Source organism: Homo sapiens, chromosome 17, assembly GCF_000001405.40.
Source record: "Homo sapiens chromosome 17, GRCh38.p14 Primary Assembly".
Taxonomy (NCBI): domain Eukaryota; kingdom Metazoa; phylum Chordata; class Mammalia; order Primates; family Hominidae; genus Homo; species Homo sapiens.
In genome coordinates, this window is record NC_000017.11 from 78,031,860 (window position 1) to 78,057,947 (window position 26,088).

The 26,088-nt window shown below is 42.9% G+C and overlaps 1 protein-coding gene across 21 annotated transcripts in view; it reads left to right on the forward strand.

Moving 5' to 3' along the window:
* TNRC6C (trinucleotide repeat containing adaptor 6C) overlaps positions 1-26,088 on the forward strand; it is a 151,279-nt gene that overhangs the window by 74,303 nt on the left and 50,888 nt on the right. For 9 of the 21 annotated variants that reach the window (NM_001395509.1, NM_001142640.2, NM_001395510.1 and 6 more), the window contains one exon: positions 16,986-19,589. In NM_001395509.1, coding sequence (NP_001382438.1) covers positions 16,986-19,589 — 2,604 coding nt within the window. Of the gene's footprint in view, positions 1-4,379; positions 4,552-9,050; positions 9,259-16,985; positions 19,599-26,088 lie in introns of those variants that run through there. The other 12 variants (XM_047436496.1, XM_047436485.1, XM_006721996.5 and 9 more) reach the window with 3 other exon arrangements.

Here is a 26,088-nt window from a genome sequence, read left to right on the forward strand (position 1 = left end):
TGAGACATTGTTTTGATCTGAAAACTTTGCTATTTTCAACTTTGCTGCTGAGCAATAGAAATAGACATATTTTGGTCCATACTCACAACATACACAGAGACAGACAAATTCATTTCATTTTAAGTGGGTTTTAAAATTTAATTGTGTTTTCCCTCTATTTATTTACATTATTGGTCATGAGTTTGCAGATGGCATGAGCTACTTCAGCTGAGCTTATTTTTCATCAGAAACTAAAGGTCTGTACATTGGTCCATACGAACCCATCAAGGCAGTTACTTTAGAACCCAGAAGTGAAAACTTTTCAGTAAAACCCTTTTCTCTCAATTTCCTAGTCTGTCTTATGAGTGCACACAAGCATTTTTTGCAGGGAGGTACAGATCCTTCCACTAGGCGTTTCTAACTGTAACTTAGTCATACACATTGAGCCAAGCCTATCTGATACCTCCTCATCCTAAGCCCTGCTTCTTGTTGCTTCCTTGCCTGTAACTAGTTGTTAGCTTTCTTTTGGCTCCTAAGAAAAATCACCACTTGTTTATTTGCTTTCCAGCTGCCAAAATGCAGATGTCTCTCATTTCCTGTCAGCTTCTTTTCCAATCTCCTTGACTTGATGGATTTGTACTTTTGAAAAATTCATGTACTGTAGTTTTAAGGAATTTTTGGAAGAGAACAAAGTATTTGTGGTCAACTGCCATGTTCTCTGTTAGATTCTTCAATTTTTCGGTTTCAAGTAACAACTAATAATTGGTGCTGTTTCTGGAATGGAAACTTATCTGCTCATAGTTGTGAAATTAAGGTCTGTAATTAGATGTGCAAGGAGGCTTCTTAGATTGGAATTTAAAAGAAACATGGCACAAGTCATATTCTTGTTTTCTTTCATGTGCTGCTTTTTAATATGGGTAATAATTCTAGCATGACGTAGAAGTATTTATAGCAATGTTTTTCAAAACTGTGACTTTGTAGTATAGTCAGAACTAATATTTTTAGACAACTTTACCAAGTCTCTTCAAATAGTCTTGGCTTTCGTCTGCTAACCACTTGGTAGAGGGGATGTAGGTCAATGATTGTCACCAAAAAGCAAGGCAGAAAAGATAAAATATATTCACTGACCAAGAATATAGTCTCATCTATTTAGTTGCCAGCAGTTTACAATCAAACATGCTACTTTCCCAATATGGTCCTTGGGAAAATCTTAACAGAGACAAGGATTCTATAGTTAGACCTAAATAGCTTGGTGTTTTAATTTAAGGGTCTTATTTTGAAAAACTGAATAAGAAATGTAACAGCCCTGCCTGTTCTGGTTGTATCTGGTTGTGATGTGATTGGTTGACAGTATTGCATCAGTTTTCTCATCAAATGCTGCTGGTGCAGAATGTTACTGGTATCTTCTTAGATAAGTAGAAAATAAGCAATTAAGTCAATAAAATCTTGCTATGATATAATATTCCCTCATTAAATATTTATCTCTGTAAATATAACATTATCTAAGAAAATACTCCTAGTTCATAGTCCTTCTAAAATATATATTGTAGGCTGGGCACAGTGGCTCACGCCTGTAATCCCAGCACTTTGGGAAGCCAAGGTGGGCGGATCACCTGAGGTCGAGAGTTCGAGACCAGCCTGACCAACATGGAGAAACCCAGTCTGTACTAAAAATACAAAATTAGCTGGGCATGTTGGCACATGCCTGTAATCCCAGCTACTCGGGAGGCTGAGGCAGGAGAATCGCTTGAACCTGGGACGTGGAGGTTGCGGCGAGCCGAGATCACGCCATTGCACTCCAGCCTGGGTGACAAGAGTGAAACTCCGTTTCAAAAAAAAAAAGGTGTGTGAGTATATATATAAATATACATATAAACACACACACATATTGAAGAACATAAATCATTTTATGGATTGAAAACATCTCAAAAAATTGATCAATCTATGTAGTGAGCATAAAATAAGAAATTCATTCTTGACTCCCAAACAAAAATCTTCATTTTATACCAATTTCATCTCTTCCTCAGTAGTCTCTGGTATCACAGCCAGATGCATCTTTCTAACTCACCACCCTTCACTGACGAGGGGTCCCCTCACAAACCTGCCGTGGTCACCTAGTTACTAATGCACAAACTCTCCGTTTTTCTCTCTGGCTGTGAAGGCCCTTCATAGCCGAGTCTCCCCAACATTTTCCCCGCCTACTCTCCATGGCCTACTTTTTTCTTTTCTTTTGAGACTGAGTTTCTCTCTTGTTGCCCAGGCTGAAATGCGATGGCACAGTTTTGGCTCACCACAACCTCTGCCTCCCAGGTTCAAGTGATTCTCCTGCCTGCCTCAGCCTCCTGAGTAGCTGGGATTACAGGCGACCACCACCATGCCTGACTAATTTTGTATTTTTAGTAGAGAAGGCATTTCACCATGTTGGTCAGGATGGTCTCAAACTCCTGACCTCAGGTGATCCGCCTGCCTCAGCCTCCCAAAGTGCTGTGATTCCAGGCGTGAGCCACCACCCCCCAGCCTCCATGGCCTACTTTCTATTATGATTGGGATTGCTTTCTTACTGTCTCACAAGTGTGCCATGCTCACTGTCAAGTCCCTCCCATGCACACATGCTTAATTGCTGCCCCCCCAACCCCCACTTTACTTCCAGTTCATTGTCCCCCCGCACCCGTGAGGCTTCCCCAAGCAGCTCTGTCTCCATTCTGTTCTCACAGGTGTAATATGCCCACTTTGTAACATAACACCTTTGCACTTACTGTATACTGTATATCCTATATTTTTTGCTGATTAGGTCATAAGAGTCTTGCCTTTAAACTAAGTTGGAAATATCCTATGAAGAAAATGTTTGAGGTCGGGCGTGGTGGCTGATGCCTGTAATCCCAGCACTTTGAAGCCCTGGGCGGGTGAATTGCTTGAGCTCAGGAGTTCGAGGCCAGCCTGGGTGACACAGCAAAACCCCCTTTCTGCAAAAAGTACAAAAATTAGCCAGACATGGTGGCATGTGCCTGTGGTCCCAGCTACTCAAGAGGCTGAGGTGGGACAATCGCTTGAGTCTGGGAGGTGGAGGATGCAGTGAGCCAAGATCGAGTCACTGCATTCCAGCCTGGGCAACAGGAAAAAATAAATAACGTCTCTGAGCTTTCTATGACTAAGCAGAATGGGAAAATCTCTGAACCATAGGTGAGGACTTGGAAACTAGAACTTGTTATGCCACCAACTAGTCCTTCCATTTCTCATCTAAAATGAGAGGTTTGAACCTCTCATGATCTCTAAGGTCCTTTCCCTTAAATTTCTGACTCAGACACCATTCCAATGACTTTGTTTGATTTTGTCAGTGGAAGGACTTTCAGGAACACTGTCCCATGTTGTTACGGTGTTGGCACAGGGATTGTAGGTGAGCATCAGCAAGCATGGAGGCAGTATGGCAAAGTGGTCAAGAGACAGGCCCAATCCACTTTCCAGACCCACCACCTCCTGTGTGACCTTGACCAAATCACCTTCACTCCCTGTACTTTTGACTCATCTTTGAAATGAAGAGATTCCTAATTTTGAAGATGAGCTATTTATTTCATATGCAGCACAAGGTCTTGCTTATAGTAGGTGTTGAGTAATGCAGGTGATAGTTGTTAGTGTGAGACTGGTGAGACTTTGAAATATACAACAAATATGTACCCATCTTTGAAACACCATTGTGAAGCAGAGTGTTCACAAATCCCAGCTACCTGACAGGCTGAGGGAGAAGGATCGCTTGAGCCCAGGAATTCAAGACCAGCATGGACAACACAGCAAGACCTGTTTCAAAAAAATAGTCAAAATTTTTGACTGACTAAATTCTAAAACAGTGCAGTAAAGCTTTCTCATCACTCTGTGATTTGTGTATATTTTGAAGTTTCACTTGTCCTTCCTAGAGTTCTCTTTTTCATATTATAGTTGTTTAATGAATTCACATCCAGGTGAAATTCTATTGGTGTATTCCCGAGGAGTAACCAGATTTCTGGTCGCAGTGAAAGTATTTTTAGATACAGTTTGAAATAAAAGCTCTTATCAACTTTCTTAAAAGTAATACATAGATTTTCATTGTACTTTAATCTGTCACTTTAATGTGGAAGTGACTCCTACGGTCACTTCTACATTAAAACAAAAAAACAGAGTTTTATTCATGATTACATTTCTCTAACTTGTAAGGTTCAGTTAAAAAGAAGTACAAATGCTGGGTCCGTAGAACTAAGACTGAATTAACCAAGCAGGGGGCCGCTGAGGGAGGCGTCCTTAGGAATTTAGCAGTACACCATTTCTGATGAAGAGCAAAGTGAAGCTTGGAGTTCTTTCAGCTTCGCACACGAATTTCTGTGTTTTTCCCAGGTGTCTTAGTACGTAAACTCTTTGTGCCCTCCCCCCAGGTTTTAGTGTGCTTAGCGAAAACTAAAGAAAGTGAAGTATTCGTGGAAGGAATTGACGGAGTTTGAGTCACCTTTGTCATAGTTTTAAAAAGCTGCACGGTGGAGATTTGTGGGCATCCTTGTTTCCCCATAACTGAGTATTTGACCAGTTGCCTGCTGCTTTCCCATGGAAGTAAGTGTTATAGTCCTGTACTGTGCTAATGGAAAACTTACGTGTCCATTCCAGTAAACAGAGAGGATTTACAGATAAAATTAAACAATAGAGGAGCAGAAATGGGAAAGTTTTTAAAGAGTTAAAAGTGGAATTTGTAGCGTTTTTAGCTGTGTAAGAATAGATAAAATGTATATTTATATACTGTTACAGTACAAGGCAACGGGCGAAATTAGAGAAGAGACTTACATAGGCCGGGCGCGTTGGCTCACACCTGTAATCCCAGCAGTTTGAGAGGCCGAGGCAGGTGGATCACCTGAGGTCAGGAGTTTAAGACCAGCCTGGCCAACATAGCGAAACCCCATCTCTACTAAAAATACAAAAATTAGCTGGGTGTGATGGTAGGCGCCTGTAACCCCAGCTACTCGGGAGGCTGAGGCAAGAGAATCACTTGAATCCAGGAGGCAGAGGTTGCAGTGAGCTGAGATCACACCACTGCACTCCAGCCTGGGTGACAGAGCAAGATTCCATTAAAAAAAAAAAAGAAAGAAAGAAAGAATGGAAAGAGACTTAGTCTGACAGTTATTTATTTCATTATTCTTTTTCTTTATATAGAATATGCTTCCTAACGAGATGTAAATAGTAGATTAATCTGACTCTTAAAACATTTTGTCATAATTCACCTTTTGATTTACATTAATCTGCAAGCTTGCTTCTATAGAAAATTGCAACCACACATTTTGCCATTTCTTAGACAAACTAGTGTACTGGCTTCACACTTTTTCACTCTTTTTCCTTTTCTTCCTATATGAGAATGTTCAGGCAGCAGTGCCACACTCGGCTTGCACAGCTCTGAGAAGGGAAGAAGATGCTAGCCTTTCAGAACGGTGGTTTTGTCATGTGTGTCTTCATTTGTTCATTGAGCAGAACATTTGTTGAATGCCTACCAAACATCACATACCCTGCACTGGGGATGGACAATTCATGAGTGAAGTGTTTTGGAATAACCAATAAGTAAGTCAGCCACTTCAAGGTATTGTAACAGAGATAAGCATAGAGTGCCACATGGGAAGGACAACTAACCCAGACTACGGATAGGGGACTGCAAGGAAGCCTTTCTGGTGGAGGTGATATGAGCTGAGTTTCAAGTTAGCTGTGCTGGGCAAAGAAGGTGAAAGGGCGTCGCAGATGGAGTGACCTGCATGCATGAAAAGCGCAGACCCGCAGTTGTAAAGCCTCTCAGTAAGCGCTGCAGGCTCATTGTGGCGGGGGGCAGTGGGAAGATGTAAGGCTACAGAAGTTGGCTGTTGGTATTACTAAGTAATAGTAATAAACCAGCATAAAAGCTTCTTTTGGTAATAGAGCCAAATTAAATTCAGATTTAAAGCTCTTCCTCCAAGTTGCTTTTGGAACTTGATAGACTAATTCCAAACTTCATCTAGAAGAGCGAATGTACGTGAATAGAAGAGCCAAGAGACTGAAAAAGCATAATGAGCTATCACTTTGAGCTGTGATCCTCTAGTAATTTTAACAGCGTGTTTCTAGGGCAGGAGTAAACACAGATCCAGGAACTATGATATAAAGAGAGCAGGGGGAAAAACAGATGTATACACGGAGAGTTGCAGATCACTGAGAAAATAGTGGTTCAGATCAATATCGAGTGCTAGAAAGCCATATGCAAGACAAATATAAGAACTACAGAAAGATGACGTAAGAGAGTATTTTCTAAATCTTGGGATAAAATTTTAATCATAAGCCATGAAAAGAAAGACTGACAAGTTTGAGTGTATAAAAATTTAAAAGTTTTGTACATGAATATGAATAAAATCTGAGAGGACATGTTTACAGTGTAAATAGCAAAAGATAAATATCTCAAAAATACCAAGTGTTCCGACAAATCAAAAGAAAAACAGTCCCATAGAAGAATGGGCAAAGAATGTGAACGGGAAGATCATAGAACTACCACAAATGGGTCCTAAGTATGTTGAAAGTATTCCCTTGTGGCTGGGTGCGGTGGCTCACGCATGTAATCCCAGCACTTTGGGAGGCCGAGGCAGGTGGATCACGAGTTCAGGAGATTGAGACCATCCTGGCTAACACGGTGAAACCCCATCTCTACTAAAAAAAAAAATACAAAAAATTAGCCGGGCGTGGTGGCGGGCGCCTGTAGTCCCAGCTACTCGGGAGGCTGAGGCAGGAGAATGCCGTGAACCCGGGAGGCGGAGCTTGCAGTGAGCTGAGATGGTGCCACTGCACTCCAGCCTGGGCGACAGAGCGAGACTCCGTGTCAAAAAAAAAAAAAAAAAAAAGTATTTCCTTGTAATCAGGGAAAAGATAAATGGAAACAGCATTGATAGATCACTTTTCACTTACCAAATTGTCAAAACTTTAAATCTTGTTAATATTCCTCTATTGTAATAACACAGTACTATGGATTGAGTGCTTATCATTTGCAAGATCCAATTGCTTTACACATATTAACTCATTTAATCTTCTCAAGACCCTGTAATCACCGCAGGCGACCAGCGAGAGTGTGGGAAAAGGCGACGCTGGTGTGCTGTTGGTCGGAATGTAAGGAGGCATGTGGCAGGATTTATCAAAATGTTGGGTAATATGACGTAGTACATCCTGCAGACACCTAGAGCACAGCTCTTTACTGACGACTGAATGCTCTGCATTTGTCCTCTGCCCAGTGGCATGAATTAATAACAGGCAAGTTGGAACGTGTCGAGAGGCAGTAGGGACAAAAACAGAGTTGACTGTATTCGTTACAGAACAGGCACAGGTGTAGATAGCATTAGTCTTCCAGTGACCAGCAATCTCACTTTATCCTGTGATGATAAAGAGCAGCCTGTGTTTGAGAACCAGTTGAACTTTTGCTAGGCTGCAGGTCCCCACAGAACAGCAATTTCAAATCTTGCCCCCCCCCCCCACTCCCTACCTCTTACCAGGTCAGCCATCCCCTCTGTTCTTGGTGTCACCTTCTTGCCGTCACCCACGTTGGCCTGGGCATTGGGCAGAAGCTTCATTGGTTTTGTAGCGTTATTGATGTCAACAAGTATCCCATTTTAGAAGGTAACCAAGACTTCTAATACTTGCATGCAAAAATAAGTCCTAGATGCTTTTAATATTCGATAATGCTGATGTTGAAGTGAAATTCAGTCAAGTGAAACCAATTTTGTAATGGGCTGACAATTCTAAATGGAGCTTTCCAGCGTCCAGCTGACCCTCCTGCCAGTGGTTAATGCTGTGGCTGTTGTCAGGCAGCATCCTGTGGCTGCCATCCCTCGTGGGAAACACAGGCTTGCACACAAGGGCATCCAGAGCAGACAGGGCAATAAAGGCCTAGAAATGCCCACTAAGGACTGGGAGAACAACAGAGGGGAGCCTACAACAAGCCCGAGAGGAGGAGGGCCTGTGGGCATTTCAGCTGTCAAAGGGCTGTCCTGAGAGCCCGCTGCCCCCAGGCAGCCCCAGAGGACAGAGGTGGAACAAGAGTGGCGGAAATGTAGGGTGGTAGGCAGGGTTTTCAGATTTCTGGAAGAACTTTTATTCCTTCCCCCTTCACTGGCAGTAGCCAAGGAGAGATAGTCAGTTATTGCCAATGGTGGAAGGGCTTCTGCAAGACAGGTAGGCCAGGGTGCCTCCCAGCCCTGGTTCCAGGTTCTCTTTAGGTAAAGACTGTTATCAGCAAATGAAACATTGGCCTTCTCATAAAATAATACAGGGGAAACTAGATTTGTAAATTCATGTATTGATTTGGATGGGAGTATATTTAGCCAAATAGCAACAGATCTTAACTGGGAAGATGAGTATTAGTACGTACAGTGATTTCCAGAGATTCCAAAGAATGCCACCTGATCATGTCAGGTTCAGTGCAGATTATGTTTTGCAAGTCTGCAGGATAGCTCCAGCTTGAAACACTTGAGAGCTTTTATCTTTAAAAAATAATAATAATAATAAGTTCTTGTGCCAAAGGCAGAACAATGTATTGTTTTGGTGGCTGCTTTGTACATTTATAAACAGAGGCTTTGATTAATATACGGCAGTGTTTGCTACTTAGATCTTTTTTAGATAGAGGCAGGAAAGTAATTAAGAAGCTGGACACTTGCCAGTTTACATATGGGGCTCATTTAGAATATTACAGCTAGTGTTGGCATGCCAAATGTTTAGGAGTTGTTTAGAAAAAGGGAGAAAGAAGGAGCGGAAAACAAAGGCAGGATGAGAGAGCCGCAGTTTATTCGCCTGCAGCCAATAGGCAAAATGCCGTTATTCTTTTGGCTGACTTTCAAAAACACAGAAGAAAAGTGGCTGTGATGCTAATTGTAACTGGGTCCTGAAGTGAAAATGTTTGTGACAATCGAAAGAATTTAAAGAGGAAGGAAGATCGGTTTAGTGTCAGCTGCAATTAGATAATCAAAGCTGTAAAATCCCATCCGTCCATGCCTCCGCCCCTAGTTGAAGGGGATGAGTCGGGTGCCTCCTGGAGTAGAAAGGGCATTGCCCAGCCCTGCCCGGCTTGCGGCCGCGGGCGCCCGCGGGTGGCCCGGACGCAGACTGGCCCCGGGAGCTTCCTGGCAGCTCCCTGGCAGCTCTACAGGAGGCGGCTCTCGCTGTACCCAGCCGACATGTTGTAGCGAGAGGCCAGGCGAGCCTCGATGCAGGCGTAGAGGCAGCTGTGCACGCGAGGTGGCGTCTCCTAGGAGGGTTGGGCGGCACCGTCTGCAGGTATTTCCTCACCCGTCAGCCCCTCGTAGAGCAGGAGAAACGGAACAAACACGGAACAAATAGTGGCTGCTTCTCGCCAGTCCGTTTGTGACATAACATTCCAGCGTGTGAGTGGTAGCCCGGCGTCCCTAAGCTCTTGGCTGCAATTCAGATTGGATAAAATGGCGTCTTGGAAAAGAGCTGCTTGCTAAAGATCTGCCGCACGGAGCAGAGACTTACCCATGGCTTTCCCTACTGTGGTTTCTCTCTGCTGGGCTGGCACGGGCAGGCCTTCCCAAATTAGGAAGCAAGCCTCCTTTGCCCCCAGTTTCCTTCTTTATTTAATAGACTCTTAACCTTGAGGAAGCAATCTCATTTTACTGCCGTTTTGAAGAAAAACACAAGGCAACAAACTTATTCTTTTGGACACTATTTGTGTTTCCAATAAATCTTGTACTGTGTTCTGCGTTTCATAATTCCTTGTATTTATAGTAGTTGACAGATGAAATGTTTGGGAGTCTGTCCAGCAATGGAATTTTGAATTCAAAGTACTTTCTCCCTGAGATCTTTACACCCAGTAAATGCAGTAGAGGGGGAGGCATCTTTGGTTTTCAAAAGCTGAAGGCTGTTGTAGCATTTATCCTGCCCCTGAAAACCAAGCAGCGAAGGATTTGTGGTATCAGTAAGCCTTAGTAAACGTATACTATCAACTGTTGAAAGCATTGCGAACTAGTTTTTATAATACATATTATTTCAGTTAAAAGGACTGTGATGATAAAGAATGAACACATTTACTATTTGTCAGTGTTAGTACCAGTACAGCATTCTGCACACCTCTGAGTAAATCTTGTCCACACTTTCATATCTGATTAAATCTGATACCTAATTAAAATTTTGCTTACTATGGCTTTTGGAAGCTCTTCATTAAATATTTTCCAGGAAAATTTTATCTTTATATGCTAACATTTTGGAATTTAAAGACAAAGGAAAGCTTTTCTCTTTCAACCATGCTATTATGTAATCCTTTTTAATTTAATCACTTAAGACAGTTACGTTGCTTAGATTTTTATAGACACCTATTTATAGACTGTAAACCACTTAACAGCAGAAGAAAAGAGAATTTAACGTTATACATGAGCTTCATTTCTTTTTTCTTTTTAAGGCTTTTTTTAGGGGAAAAATTATTTGATAATAGAATGTTGTGGTGGGAAGAGCACTAGATTATATTCTGAAAACTCAGATTTCAGTTCATTCCTTACTGTTTATTAGTTACAAACCCTGGCCACTTAGCCTCTCTGAGCCTGTTTCTTCATCTGTAAAACTGACATTGTTTGTAAGGGTCAGCTAAGCCGACGTGTATGGAAATACTTCAAACTCCGAAATGGTATAAAGTATGTGATGTCTTGGTTCATTTCAGAGTTTTCATTCATTTCAAAATGGCTGCTCTTAAAATTCGGTCATTTCACAGATTTTTTTTTTTTTTTTAACGAAATTTAACCTTTTAGACTGCATTTTCATTTTTGGAGTAAATCCTGGTATTCTGATTAAAAGAATATGTGGTGATGGTGGTGATGATGATGGTGCTATTGGTGATGGTGATGATGGAGTTGGTGATGATGGTGGAGATAACAATGATGGTAGTGGTCATCATGATGCTGGTGGTGATCATGGTGGTGGTGCTGATGGTGGTGGTGGTGGTGTTGGTGATGACGGTGTTGGTGATGGTCGTAACAGTGGTGATGGTGGTGGTGGTGATGATGAGGAAGAGGAGACATTCAGGGATTTGATAGAACTAAAAGCATATTTTAATTAGCTCAGTATGCAATACAGTCCCCGGTTTGGGGGTTTTGTATGTATAATTTTCAGAGAGATTCCTAAGCCTACCCTTCAAAAAAGAGCTTATAAGTAGTAGGTGCTTTTCTCTTTCTCCGTGAACCTGCATTGAATTTTCAGTAAAATTAATTTGTGAAGAGCCAGATCATTTGATGAGGTGGAAGAACCAAGAAGTAAGGAACAAGAGAGCAGCTGAAGTATGGAAAAAAAGGAAAAAAGAATAGCAGTATGTCTCATAATGGTAGCCAAAGGTGGAATGTCAGCAGCTGCAGCCTGAAACTTCAGTGGGCTGGGCTGGGCTGGGCACACTCCCTGCTCCTCTCCTGTGACAGAAGATGTACCAGGCCACAGTGTGGCCCCGAGGCTGCAGCCTATCCCAAGAAGTGCAAGGAGGCTATAGAGGTGGGAGAAAAGAGATGGTTGGTTGGTTGATTGGTTCCTTCTTAAGTAAAATAGCATTGTTCCAAATTGACTTCTATAGTAAAACATATTTTTTATAATTTTTTTTATTTCTGTGGGTACATAGAAGGTATATATATTTATGGGTTACATGAGATATTTTGATACAGGCATGCAATGTGTAATAATCACATCAGGATAAATGGGGTATCAGTCATCTCAAGTATTTATCCATTGTGTTACAAATAATCCTATTATACTCTTTTATGTATTTTTTAAATGGACAGTGAAATTATTTTTAGCTATAGTAAGCCTGTTATGCTAGTAATTACTAGGTCTTATTTATTCTTTCTGATTATTTTTTGTACCCATTAACCCTTCTCCACTTCTCCCCACCCCTCACTCTCGCACTACCCTTCCTAGCCTCTATCTTCATAAGTTCAATTATGTTCGTTTTTAACTCCCACAAATAAGTGAGAACATGCAAAGCTTGTCTTCATGTGCCTGGCTTATTTTAATTAACATAGTGACCTCCAGTTCCATCCATGTTGTTGCAAATGACAGGATCTTATTCTTTTTATGGCTGAACAGTATTCCATTGTGTATATCTGCCATATTTTCTTTATTCATCTGTTTATGGACACATAGGTTGCTTCCAAATCTTGGTTGTTGTGAGTAGTGCTGCAGCAAACATCGAAGCTCTCTCTTCAATATACTGATCTCCTTTCTTTTGGGTATATACCTAGGATTGAGGTAGTATAACTTATTATCAAACCCTATCTATGTTTTCAACATAGATTCATAGTCTCAGTTGTAATTTTTTCTAACTAAAAAAGATTTTGAGCTATCAGTTCCTCTTGTACTAACTTCTCTGAATAGATAACCCAGTATTTTTGCAAGTAACTTCAGTTAAGTTGGTTGCTAGTCAACATGGCAACCTAAGCTTAATCTTAACTTTACCTTCAAGACTGAAAATTTAAGCATCATTTATATTACTAGCAAACTGCTTTCAAGTATTGATAAGAATTATTCATTCATTCAATGTATGTTTATTTACTGCTTCTTCTCTGTCAGATACTCTGCTGAACACTGGCAGTAAAAATAGAGCCAGAATAGGTACGCCTTGCCTTCATGGTGTTTACAGCCTAGAGGGAGAACCAGCCAGTCACACGATGACTCACACTAGAATGTGTGCTCCATGAGAGAAAGAAGTCGTTCATCTTGTTTATGGCTGTGTCCCCAGCACAGTAGCTGCATATAGGAGGCACTCAATAATAGTTATTGTTTCAATTGAGTTGGCAAGCTCTGGGCCCATGAGCCACATCTGGCCCATCACCTATTTTTGGAAATAAAGTTTTGTTGGCACACAGCCACACTCATTCTGCTTTTGTGCCACAGCAGCAGAATTGAGTAGTTGTGACAGAGACTATATGGCCCACAAAGCCTAAAGCATTTTGGCTATTAGGCCCTTTACAGAAATTGTTTGCCACCCTGGTTGGTCTAAGTGACTTGAAAGGAAGACTGTTACAATGAATGTATGAGGGAGTCCTAACTAGGGAACAAAAACGTCCCAAATTAAATGTCCATGGATTTGAGATGGGAAAAAAGAATAGACATTGAGCCCAGGCAGGGGATGGCACCTTTAACAGCCCTGTCTTTGGGAGGGCAGGACACAGATGGCACCTCAAGGAACTGTCTGGAGCACAGAGCAGGAGAAAGAATGATATGAATGGCCTCAAAAGAGACCCAACCATTGGTGACCCACTGGGCATTCATTTGGAAAAGAGCACTGTATGCAGTGTTGAGCACATTATTGTGGGTGGGGCAGTAGGGGGCATGGGAAGAGACCTGTTGGAAAGTTATTTACAGTAATCCAGTCAAGACATGAGGGTGCTTGGAACAGGGGCAGTCAGAGGGAAGTTTTATTTCTTGTTTTAATGGAAAAGGTTCTAGAAATACCCAATATGTAAACTCAACAGGCATGACTTCATCCTTATGGCATCCTATATGGCCATCCTTAGGGCACTTCAGCTATTGGGGATGGATATTGGCCTTTGTAGAAGTGACTTTGCTTCCTGCCAGTATTGCCCCATTGGTGGTTATTTTGCTGTGGCATAGTTGAGATCTACACCTCAAAGCCCGGGAAGGTCTGAGTAGGCGGCGTCATTGTAGTGGAAGTGGTTCCCTCAGAAGATGGACGTGCTTGTTCAAAGCAGTCTGGGCTGTACAAGTGCAGCTGATTGGTGACTTCAGCTAGAACTCAGATTGTAGCACTATGCATGTATGGTTTTGTTTGCCCAGGAAGCATATATTGTTTGCCTATATGTGGCAAGCATTTTGAATGGAAAACTAAAAAGATATTTGCCACGCCCTCAAGGAACTCACCTTCAGAAATTAGACACTTAATTCAGGGATCAGATGGGTTTTTAATCAGACTGCTCTGCCGCCTGATTTGTATCACATTTAAACATAAAAATTAAAAATTTTGAAAATATTTTTTCAATAGAAGAAAGTATATAGAAAATAATATAACTGTGTTCACAATAGAGATTTAACATAATATCATGCCATATTTGCTTCAGGGCTCTCTATTTTAAAAATGTTATAGGTATCATCCTCTAACCCCATTCTGGTCCCCATCCCACCCCCAGAGGGAACCACAATTCAAAAATTGTAGTGTTGTGTCACTTTCATCTACAGTGTGACATTAAAGTGCATTTCTTGATTATTAATGAGGTTGATTATTGTTTCATATGTTAATGGCTTATGAGTTTTCTCTTTTCTAAATTGCCTGTTCCTATCCTTTTCCCATTTCTGGTTGGGTTGTTGGCCTCTTTCTTACCGATTTTTAGGATTCTTTTTTTTTTTTTTGAGATGGAGTCTCACTGTGTTGCCCAGGCTGGAGTGCAGTGGCACAGTCTCGGCTCACTGCAACCTCCACCTCTTGGGTTCGAGTGATACTCCTGCCTCAACTCCCAAGTAGCTGGAACCACAGGCGTGCACCACCACACCCGGCTAATTTTTGTGTAAGTAGAGACGAGGTTTCACCATGTTGGCCAGGCTGGTCTCGAACTCCTGACCTCAGGTGATCCACCTGCCTCGGCCTCCCAAAGTGCTGGGATTACAGGCGAGAGCCACTGCGCCTGGCCGGGAATTCTTTAAGCTGATAACCATACATTATCTGTTGTATCTTCTCCCTGCCTGTGGCTTGTTTTTTTAGCTTTCATTATATGATATCTTTTGTTATATAGATGTTTTTAATATTAGCATAGTCAAATTTATCACCTGTTTATGTCTTACGTATTTCATGTCTTCTACAAGATGATACAATGTCCAAGGTCATAGAGATGGTCTCCTTTGCTTCCTTAATAAGCTTTAAGAAGTTTTGCTTTTCCTAATTCGCTCTTTACTTTATCTGGCATGTATACGATATAAGGGATCTACTTTCATTTCATGTGGCTAGACAGTTGTCCAACAGCATTTATTAGCCACCAGCTTATAATGCTATCCTTCTTTCAAACGTGTCATATAATTGAGTATGAACCTGTCAAATTGGGGGCTGAGCAATCCTCAAGTCCTCAAAGTAGACCATTAACAAAGGGCAGATCATTTTACAGTGTGACTGTTGTGGAATGGAACCAATAATACTGTGTATTCGAATGGCACCTCACATATGGAAAAGAATGCATTGGTCAGCCAGGTTGTTAACCCCCTGCTTTCTCGGTGTGGGTTGCAGTGAGTGCTGTCTTAGTCAAGAGGCAGCCTGCCTTATGGCACAACCTGTCCATGAGGGAACCCAAACTGATGGTAAAATGAAATGTGGTAATATTTGCTGGCAACAAGCCATAATCTCTGTGTGTTAACTTGGTCTTATTTTCTGTGTTAAATGAGGAATGGCTTATTTATCTCTTTAGTTAGTTATTATATTAGATAGTTTTTAGAGTATGTGCAAAACCAAATTGTCATAAACCAGGGTTATAGAGCCAACCCCTAATAATTGGCAGTGAAAAGAACCTAGTCATTTTATAGCAGTTTCAACATTTAAAGTTTTCTGTTGCCTGTCTTCATTTTTCCTTTGTAGTTTTCACCTGGAATTACGTACCTACTTTGAAATCACCTAGAGCATAATTCTAAAATCATTACATTACTCTTAAATCAGGCAATAAAAATCTCTTTTAGGTTGATATTAGCTTTAGTATGGTCTTTCTAATGCTAATTTTTTTTGCACACTTCCTTTTTTTCCTTTAGCTCCATCAAACTTTAAAAGAGAATTTATGTGGGAAATTCATGTTTTAATTGTCCATACGATTTTTCTTGTTAAAATAAATTTGAAGAGAACATAATTAAAAGGATCTAAAAGAGAAGAAAATATTTTATTGCAGTTTATTTGTATATTGTAGTATTTAGAGAAACTCACCAAGGATTTCTAAATCACATATGTGAGTTTGTTGTATGTTTGGGTTAAATTATTTTTTTAACATTTCTTTTACTTTATTTTTTAGTGATACATACTTGGAATAAAGTCTGCCAAAAAGTTGATCGAAATATAAGTTTGACTGCAATGTTGGAAATACTCAAATAATTGTTAAAGTCATAGGAAATAAAATGTAGATCCAAACAGGGGATTCTTTAAAAGGACCCGAAGAGTTAAATACTATAAGAAGATGGCATATAAAGTTATTCTAGGGATCTCCAAAGAAAAGGCTCTAAAGAAATAGAAAACAAGGATTGAGAGAATCTTTAGAGATCCAAAAAGATAGCACTTGTGGGGCTGAGATTCTTCTTCCTTCTTTTTCTTCTTTTAGTGATGTCCTTGAGCTACAGATTTTTTTTTTTTATTATGAATGTGCAGGAGACAGTGATAAACCAAATTGCAGATAAGATCAGATAAAGTAGTATACAGCTAATTAAACATTTCTAATCCTTAGTATTTTTGATAACATAAGATAGCATTGTCTCATATGTCTTTTCTCTCTTTCCTTCCGTCACCACTTCCCCCACCCCAAATATTGGTTCTGTTATGATTCTGCAATGCAATTTACAATTTTTTTCTACTGAAAGCCATGTTTCGCCTCTATATAATACTGTAACCTAATTAGAGGTCTTAAAGAGAACTACAAGTTTTATTCAAAACTCTACGTGAACTTACTGTCATTGCCAGTGTTTCTCAGTCTCTGTATTTATAGGAGTTGCAAAGTCACTTATCTTTCAAAGCTGCCTTTACTACAGATGCTTTCAGAGATGCTGATGTGCTAACGTGCATTGTGAGTATTCTCCAGGGGGAATAATAGTACAGTGTAGTGGTAAGAATTGATATAATTTTAAAAACATTAACGCTCTTTAAAATGGGATCTATTAAGAAGACAAATAGCTTTTTTCTTTAAGTCATTTTTTTAGTGTTTGTCATTCAGATTTGAAGACTTGAAATAAAGAGCTTCCCCAAAGACTAGTTAACAGTTGATTCATTGACAAATGAGTAGAAAATCTAATTTTGAATTTTGTTTCATCTTTTTCAGATCTCAGTCATAGTGGATTGGCAGATCATTATGAAAATTCCCACTGGGGACAGCAGCCTACTTACAGAAGCGAAGCCAACTGCAGCTGGGATAAAGTGATAATAGATAGGACTGACAAGGAGGCGTGGCCTTCCATCACAGGAACAGAGACTGAATCTGCCTCAGAATGTACTACAGACACTGACTCTGCCTCCAACTGTGGCTCAGAGAACAGTAGCATGGCTACAGGGAGTGCCCAGGGCAACTTCACTGGACATACCAAGAAGACAAATGGCAATAATGGCACCAATGGCGCACTCGTCCAAAGCCCTTCTAATCAGAGTGCCCTTGGAGCAGGGGGAGCGAACAGTAATGGAAGTGCGGCCAGAGTGTGGGGTGTAGCCACAGGCTCCAGCTCTGGCCTGGCTCACTGCTCTGTCAGTGGTGGGGATGGAAAAATGGACACTATGATTGGAGATGGGAGAAGTCAGAATTGCTGGGGTGCTTCCAACTCCAATGCTGGCATTAATCTTAACCTTAATCCTAATGCCAACCCAGCTGCCTGGCCTGTACTTGGACATGAAGGAACCGTGGCGACAGGCAACCCTTCCAGTATTTGCAGTCCAGTCAGTGCCATAGGTCAAAATATGGGCAACCAGAACGGGAACCCAACAGGCACTTTAGGTGCTTGGGGAAACTTGCTGCCACAAGAGAGCACAGAACCACAAACGTCCACTTCTCAGAATGTGTCTTTCAGCGCACAACCTCAGAACCTTAACACTGATGGACCAAATAACACTAACCCCATGAACTCTTCACCCAACCCTATCAATGCAATGCAGACAAATGGACTGCCAAACTGGGGCATGGCTGTTGGTATGGGGGCCATCATCCCGCCCCACCTGCAAGGCCTTCCTGGTGCTAATGGATCATCAGTTTCTCAAGTCAGTGGGGGCAGTGCTGAAGGAATAAGCAATTCTGTGTGGGGACTGTCCCCAGGTAACCCTGCCACAGGAAATAGCAATTCTGGGTTCAGTCAGGGGAATGGAGACACTGTGAACTCAGCATTAAGTGCTAAACAAAATGGATCCAGCAGTGCTGTGCAAAAGGAAGGAAGTGGAGGAAATGCTTGGGATTCAGGACCTCCTGCTGGTCCTGGAATACTCGCCTGGGGAAGGGGCAGTGGCAACAATGGCGTTGGTAATATCCATTCAGGAGCTTGGGGCCACCCCAGCCGAAGCACCTCTAACGGTGTGAATGGGGAATGGGGAAAGCCCCCAAACCAGCATTCCAACAGTGACATCAATGGGAAAGGATCAACAGGGTGGGAGAGTCCTAGTGTCACCAGCCAGAACCCTACCGTACAGCCTGGTGGTGAACACATGAACTCCTGGGCCAAAGCGGCATCTTCTGGAACTACAGCAAGTGAAGGAAGTAGTGATGGTTCTGGCAACCACAATGAAGGAAGCACTGGGAGGGAAGGAACGGGAGAAGGCCGAAGGCGAGATAAAGGGATTATAGACCAAGGGCACATCCAGTTGCCAAGGAATGATCTTGACCCAAGAGTTCTGTCTAATACTGGTTGGGGACAGACTCCTGTAAAGCAAAACACTGCCTGGGAATTTGAAGAATCCCCTAGGTCTGAAAGGAAAAATGACAATGGGACAGAGGCCTGGGGTTGTGCAGCTACTCAGGCTTCAAACTCAGGGGGGAAGAACGATGGGTCCATCATGAACAGTACAAATACCTCTTCAGTATCTGGGTGGGTCAACGCGCCACCTGCCGCTGTGCCAGCAAACACAGGTTGGGGAGACAGCAACAACAAAGCGCCAAGTGGCCCGGGGGTTTGGGGGGACTCGATAAGCTCTACTGCTGTTAGTACTGCTGCTGCTGCCAAGAGTGGCCATGCTTGGAGTGGGGCCGCAAATCAGGAGGACAAGTCACCCACCTGGGGTGAGCCTCCAAAGCCCAAATCCCAACACTGGGGAGATGGACAAAGATCAAATCCAGCCTGGAGTGCAGGAGGGGGAGATTGGGCAGATTCATCGTCTGTCCTTGGACACTTGGGGGATGGGAAAAAAAATGGATCTGGATGGGATGCTGACAGTAATAGGTCAGGGTCTGGTTGGAATGACACCACGAGATCTGGGAACAGTGGCTGGGGCAACAGCACAAATACAAAGGCCAATCCAGGTACAAACTGGGGGGAGACTTTAAAACCTGGCCCCCAACAGAACTGGGCTAGCAAACCCCAAGACAACAATGTGAGTAACTGGGGAGGAGCTGCTTCTGTGAAACAGACAGGAACAGGGTGGATCGGGGGGCCGGTACCGGTCAAACAGAAGGACAGCAGTGAAGCAACTGGCTGGGAAGAACCCTCTCCACCGTCCATTCGCCGCAAAATGGAAATTGATGATGGTACCTCAGCTTGGGGGGACCCAAGCAACTATAACAATAAAACTGTAAACATGTGGGATAGAAACAACCCGGTCATCCAGAGCAGTACCACGACCAATACCACCACCACCACCACCACTACCACGAGCAACACCACACACAGGGTCGAGACGCCGCCCCCGCACCAGGCCGGTACTCAGCTGAATCGATCACCGTTGCTTGGTCCAGGTAGGAAAGGTATTTCATGTTTCTTTACAAGTAAAAAAAAAAAAAAAAAAGCTTATTCTCATTATATATTCATGAATACTCCGAGTAGTGTTTTTTATAGCAAATAGCATTAAAATAATTTAAGTTCCCTATCACCGTGCAATATTGTATCTAAAGATTATCCAGTGAGAGCAAAGTAGGATCCTCTGGTGGTTTTCTATTCAAGAAAAAAATATATTAAGCACACTCAGTAGAACATCAAGCGAATGTTTTGGTGGTGGCGGTGGTGGCCTGGGGTGGAGATGATGGATTTGAAAGCAATGACAGTGCATGATTCCAAGATTTCGTAACCATTTGGATACAGGAGCAAAGAAGATAGGATAGACATGGTTCAGAACTTGGGCAAGTTGGCAGATGACTGTGTCAGTTCACTGACATGCCCATGAGCACAGCAGGAGGCACAGAGCTCCAAGTGTCCAGTGAGGACAATAAAAGGTCCCAGATACGGAAGACCAGTTCTCAGCCAGAGGGGCAAGGTCCAGAGTAGAGAGATTTTAAGGTGGCAAAGTCGTGAGCATGTTTCAGAGCTGTTAGAAAGGAACAAGTGGAGATGAGAATGAATGAAGAGGGAAGAGATCCCTGTGTCCAGCAGGACAAGGGCACTTCATCCATCTCGTGAAGCAAGGAGCAGGAAAGAGCGCTGCACAGGTGGGCCAGGCTGTCATGGCCAGAGGGCCAAGGCCACCTTCTGGGGTTCTTTTCTCTCTGGGAGTGTGAATACTAGCCCAGAGTGGAGGAGGGCTGGCTAGGAGCAGCAGCACGAGTAGAGAGGGAGCATGCATTAGCCCATGTAGAGGACAGGAACAGAGAACTGACTTGACTGGGGCCCCTGGAGGGTTGCTGGGCAATGTCAGGGCCCAGAGATCACCATACACAGTGAATTTATTGGGACCTGCCATGTACTAGGCTGTACTCTAGTAGCTGGGGAAACTGCAGGAAGCAAAACAGTCAAAACCCTGCCATGGAGGGGTCTAGATCTAGTGAGGGTGGCAAACAACACACGAATTAAAGTATATACGTAGTGTTGGGCAGTGATGGTGCAGGGAGGAAACAGTAAGCCCAGAAGGTCTGCATGCGGGGGCCACTGGAGTTGGGGAATCACCATCTTGTGTAGGGCAGCCTGGGCATTTGGGCACCTTTTTGGTTTTTGTCATAAGCGTTCAACAGGAGAATGTCCTGCCTGCTGCATTAATTCAATTATGACTGCCCTACAGGACCTCCCCTGGCCCACCAGCTGGGCCCTCCAGCCTCCTCGTAGACTTCTTGGTGGTTCACTTGTGTACCTCTCTGAGGCTGCCACATCAGGAATCCTTTATGGATCCTCAAGACAGTTTTAGCCTCCAGCTAACGCATCAGTGTCACTAAACCAGAGGTCAAAAATCAGTGGTCCGTGGGCTGCACCTAGTCCCACAAATGTGCCTTTTTGGCCCACATTTTTTCTGTGAATTGGCATTTTTTTAATGCAAATGTTTTATATTAAATTCCAGATTTCTGGCTTCCTTTGGAAACCTGAAAAGTCTGACATTGGATTCACATGGCAGCAGTCAGTCAGAGCCACTTGCCTTCATAAGGGCCTGTGCATTTTCTCCATACCATGTCACGTTGCCCCCCGACCCCTGACGGTTCCCAACACTGAGGCTTTTGATCAGTAGCCACTGAGCATCATCAAGCTTGCGCTGCTGTTCTTACGCTGGGCCTGTTTACGTTAACTGACTGGTTCCTTGGAGTACTTGAATTTGTGATTCCAATTGTTTACTAATATATGACTAATATTTCTAGGCCCTTACATTTTATAAAGTACTTGGGGGGATAAGGAGAAGCAGGAAGAAGGAAAATGAAGGGATTTGAAAAATAAGATTAGGTCGGGCGTGGTGGCTCATGCCTGTAATCCCAGTACTTTGGGAGGCCAAGGCGGGCAGATCATCTGAGGTCAGGAGTTCGAGACCAGCCTGACCAACAAGGTGAAACCCCATCTCTACTAAAAATACAAAATTAGCCGGGCATGGTGGCGCATGTCTCTAATCCCAGCTACTCAGGAGGTGAAGGCAGGAGAATCATTTGAACCCAGGAGGCGGAGGTTGCAGTGAGCTGAGATGGGGCCATTGCACTCCAGCCTGGGCGACAGAGCGAAACTCTGTCTCAAAAAAAAAAAAAGAAAGAAAGAAAAATAAGATTATTCCTAAGTAAGGAATAGTCTAGTGGGACAGGCTAGTAATATCAAATTTAATAGAGTTTAATTAGCATTATAGTAAAGGTATGCAGAAAGTGATCTGAGAGCCCCCACCTGTAATCCCAGCTACTTGGGAGGCTGAGGTGGAAGGATGGCTTGAGCCCAGGAGTTCAAAGCCTGCCTGGGCAACATAACGAGACCCCATTTCTTTAAACAAACAAACAAAAAAGCTCCAGGAACAGAATTAATACAGTCATGCATAGCTTAACAATGGTGATACATTCTAAGAAATGTGTCATCAGACAATTTCAGCATTGTGTTAACATTATAAAGTATAGTTACATAAACCTAGATGGCATAGCCTCCTGCTCACCTAGGCTATACGGTACAGCCTGTTGCTCCTAGGCTACAAACCTGCACAGCATATTACTGTACTGAATACTGTAGGCAGTTGTAGGACGATGGTAAGTATTTATATATCTAAACATGAAAAGGGGACATTAAAATATGGTATAAAATATTTAAAATGGTGCACCTGTATAGGGCACTTACCATGAGTGGAGCTTGCAGGACTGGAAGTGGCTGTGGGTGAGTCAGTGAGTTAGTGGTGAGTGAATGTGAAGGCTTGGGACACTACTGCACACTACTGCAGACTACGCACACCACTGCAGACTACTGCACACTACTGCAGACTACGCACACCACTGCAGACTACTGTACACTACTGGAGACTACTGCAGAGTACTGTGCACTACTATACACCACTGCAGACTACTGTAAACCACTGCAGACTACTGTATACTACTGCAGACTACTGCACGCCACTGCAGACTACTGTACACCACTGCAAAGTAGAGTTCACCACTGTATACCACTGCAGAGCACTGTACATCACTGTGGACTACTGCGCACCACTGCAGACTACTGTAGACTACTATACACCACTGCAGACTACTGTAGACTAGTATACACCACTGCAGACTACTGCACACCACTGCAGACTACTGTACGCTACTGGAGACTACTGCAGACTACTGTAGACTACTATACACCACTGCAGACTACTACAGACTACTGTACACTACTGGAGACTACTGTGGACTACTGTACACTACTATACATTACTGCAGACTACTGTACACTACTATACACCACTGCAGACTACTGTACGCTACCATACACCACTGCAGACTACTGTACACTACCATACACCACTGCAGACTACTGTACGCTACCATACACCACTGCGGACTACTGTATGCTACCATACACCACTGCGGACTACTGTACGCTACCATACACCACTGCGGACTACTGTACGCTACCATACACCACTGCGGACTACTGTACACCACTGCAAAGTAGAGTTCAGCACTGTACACCACTGCAGAGTACTGCGCACCACTGTAGACTGCTGTAGACTTGGTGAACACTGTACGCTTAGGCCACACTACATTTATTAAAAGATTAAAAGATACTTTCTTCAGTAACACTTAGCTTAAAACACACATTGTACAGCTTCACAAAAGTATTTTTTATATTCTTATTCTATGAGCTTTTTTTTTGTACCTTTTAAACTTTTTTGATAACTAAGACACAAACGCACACGTTAGCCTAGGCCTACACAGGGCCGGGATCTTCAGTATCACTGTTGTCCACCTCCACACGTTGTCCCATTGGAGATCCAATAACAGGAAGTACAGTAAAGACATAAACTGGTAACATAGTCTTGTATCAGCATCATCAGTTGTGTGTGCTAGACCTTGCTGTGACTGGCCGCACAGTAGGTTTGTTTACACGAGCATCACCACAAACACGTGGGGAATGCATTCCGCTACATTATGATGGGTATGGCGTCACTAGGTGATGGGAATTTTTCAGCTCCATTATATATAATCTTAGGGGACCATTGTCCTGTACGCAGTCAGTTGACCAAACCGTCATTATGCAGCCCATGACTATTTTAAATTGGCTTGTGTGTCCCATCCACCCTTAGTGGATAGTCCCAATTTGAATGCCAACTCCTGGAAGAGTTCAGGCTACAGAGGGCCCTATGCCTGGCACTGGAGTCGTGCAATAAATGTGGTCTGGCCATGGTTGGCAGTCATGTATGGAGCATTTTTATGGATCACCTCATTGGATTTTTACAGCTCCTTGGGCCTCATTTTACAAATGAGACCTAGGAGATTAAGTAGCTTTCCAAGGGTACATATGTGGGAGGGAGATGGTGAAGTCTCAGATGTGTAATATATACCATGACCTGCTGACATTTCTAAAATATTACATCCATGACACCCTACAGAGGTTAGAACCACATTGCATTTGTTGGGGGATCTCTCCCCTTTGATACGTGATCCTTAGAAACTTTTTCTTTTAGAGACAGAGTCTTGCTATGTTGCCCAGGCTGGTCTCAAACTCCTGGCCTCAAGCCATCCTCTCACTTTGGCCTCCCAAAGTGTTGGGATCATAGGTGTGAGCCACCATGCCTGGCCAGAAACTACTTTTTTTTTTTTTTCTTGAGGCAGAGTCTTACTCTGTTGCCTGGGCTAGAGTGCAGTGACACAATCTCGTCTTACTGCAACTTCCACCTCCCGGGTTCAAGCGATTCTCCTGCCTCAGCCTCCCAAGTAGCTGGGATTACAGGCGATCACCACCATGCCTGGCTAATTTTTGTATTTTTAGTAGAGATGGGGTTTCACCATGTTGGCCAGGCTGGTCTGGAACTCCTGACCTCAAGTGATCCACCCACCTCAGCCTCCCAAAGTGCTGGGATTACAGGCATGAACCACCATGGCCGGCCCAGAAACTACTTTTTTTTTTTTTTGAGACAGAGTCTTGCTCTGTTGCCCAGGCTAGAGTGCAGTGGCACAATCTCAGCTCACTGCAAGCTCCGCCTCCCAGGTTCACGCCATTCTCGTGCCTCAGCCTCCCGAGTAGCTAGGACTACAGGTGCCCGCCACCACGCTCGGCTAATTTTTTTTGTATTTTTAGTAGAGACGGGGTTTCATCATGTTAGCCAGGATGGTCTCGGTCTCCTGACCTTGTGATCAGCCAGCCTCGACCCCGCAAAGTGCTGGAATTACAGGCGTGAGCCACCACGCCTGGCCCAGAAACTACTTTTAACTTGTTTTTAGTAGCCAAAACATGGGAGCTTCATGCTGAGAAAGGCATTCTTGTTCAGTTAAAAGGGCCAAAATAATTCTCTTTTATATGAAAAATATTTATAGATTTTTTTAAACAAATTGCACATATTATCACCAAATATAAAGAAGAAAAATGTGCTGTAACTGCTACACCTTAACAGAGTGTTTCTGTACTCTGTTCTCCCCTGCAACTTTTGCAGCCTGTGCATGCGTGTGCTCTTTGTAGGTGTAGCAATACTATAGGAGCAGTTGCAAATCTAGTTTTACCAATTAAAAGAGACAAATAAAAAGTTACACAAATTTTTTTCCATGTGGAAGTGTGCTCACATGCTGAAAGTATGTTAAGTTTAGTATATTGTACAACATATGGGGTTATTTGTTCATTTTTTTCATTTATAACATTAATCTCTTTTTCTACCACTGGCATAAAGTGGCTACACTGAGTATTATTCCTGCCCTGTATTACCTGTGATGTTTAACTCTCAGACATGAACCAAGCCTTCTTTTGCAGTGAGAGCAAAGTTCATCACCCTTAAGAATTACAAGTAATCATAGCCTTTCACTCTCCAAACTTGTTAGACCAAGCTATTATTTGAGCCTGTAGAAGTAACAGTTCCACACCAGTTCCCTTCATAGAGGTGACAGCATGCAGGAGTGGCATTACCCCCGGTGGCAGCCCCTTGCCCTCCTCTCTGGGGACTGTGCCATCTGGGCAGTCAGGGTCAGCAAGGGCAGCAGCAGTCTCAGCACCTGCTGGGCCGTGCTGCCCACTGGCTTGAATGCCTGCGCAGCTTTCCATAGCTACTGGGATTCCCAGACAAAAGCCTTCCACTTGTGACTACTTCATGAAGTTTCTGCTATTTTTAAAGTTGGTGTTTTTAGGTTTTATTCAGCATAGGTTGACCTATGCTGAATTTATAGAATTTTCACTTATGTCAGAGTTTGGGTTTTAAGTTGTGGATCATTACCACTTAAGGGTATTGATCTCTCCTGTCTTATAAAATATGATTTCTGAATTACATTTTTGTGTGTGTGTGTGTGTTGTTTTAAAGGAACGAATGCTACAGTACAATCATTTTTGTCCTATGCTTGTTGATATTAATTAGTTTTCTGTGAGCCTGAGGAAAACTGGTAGTATTTTAGGAAA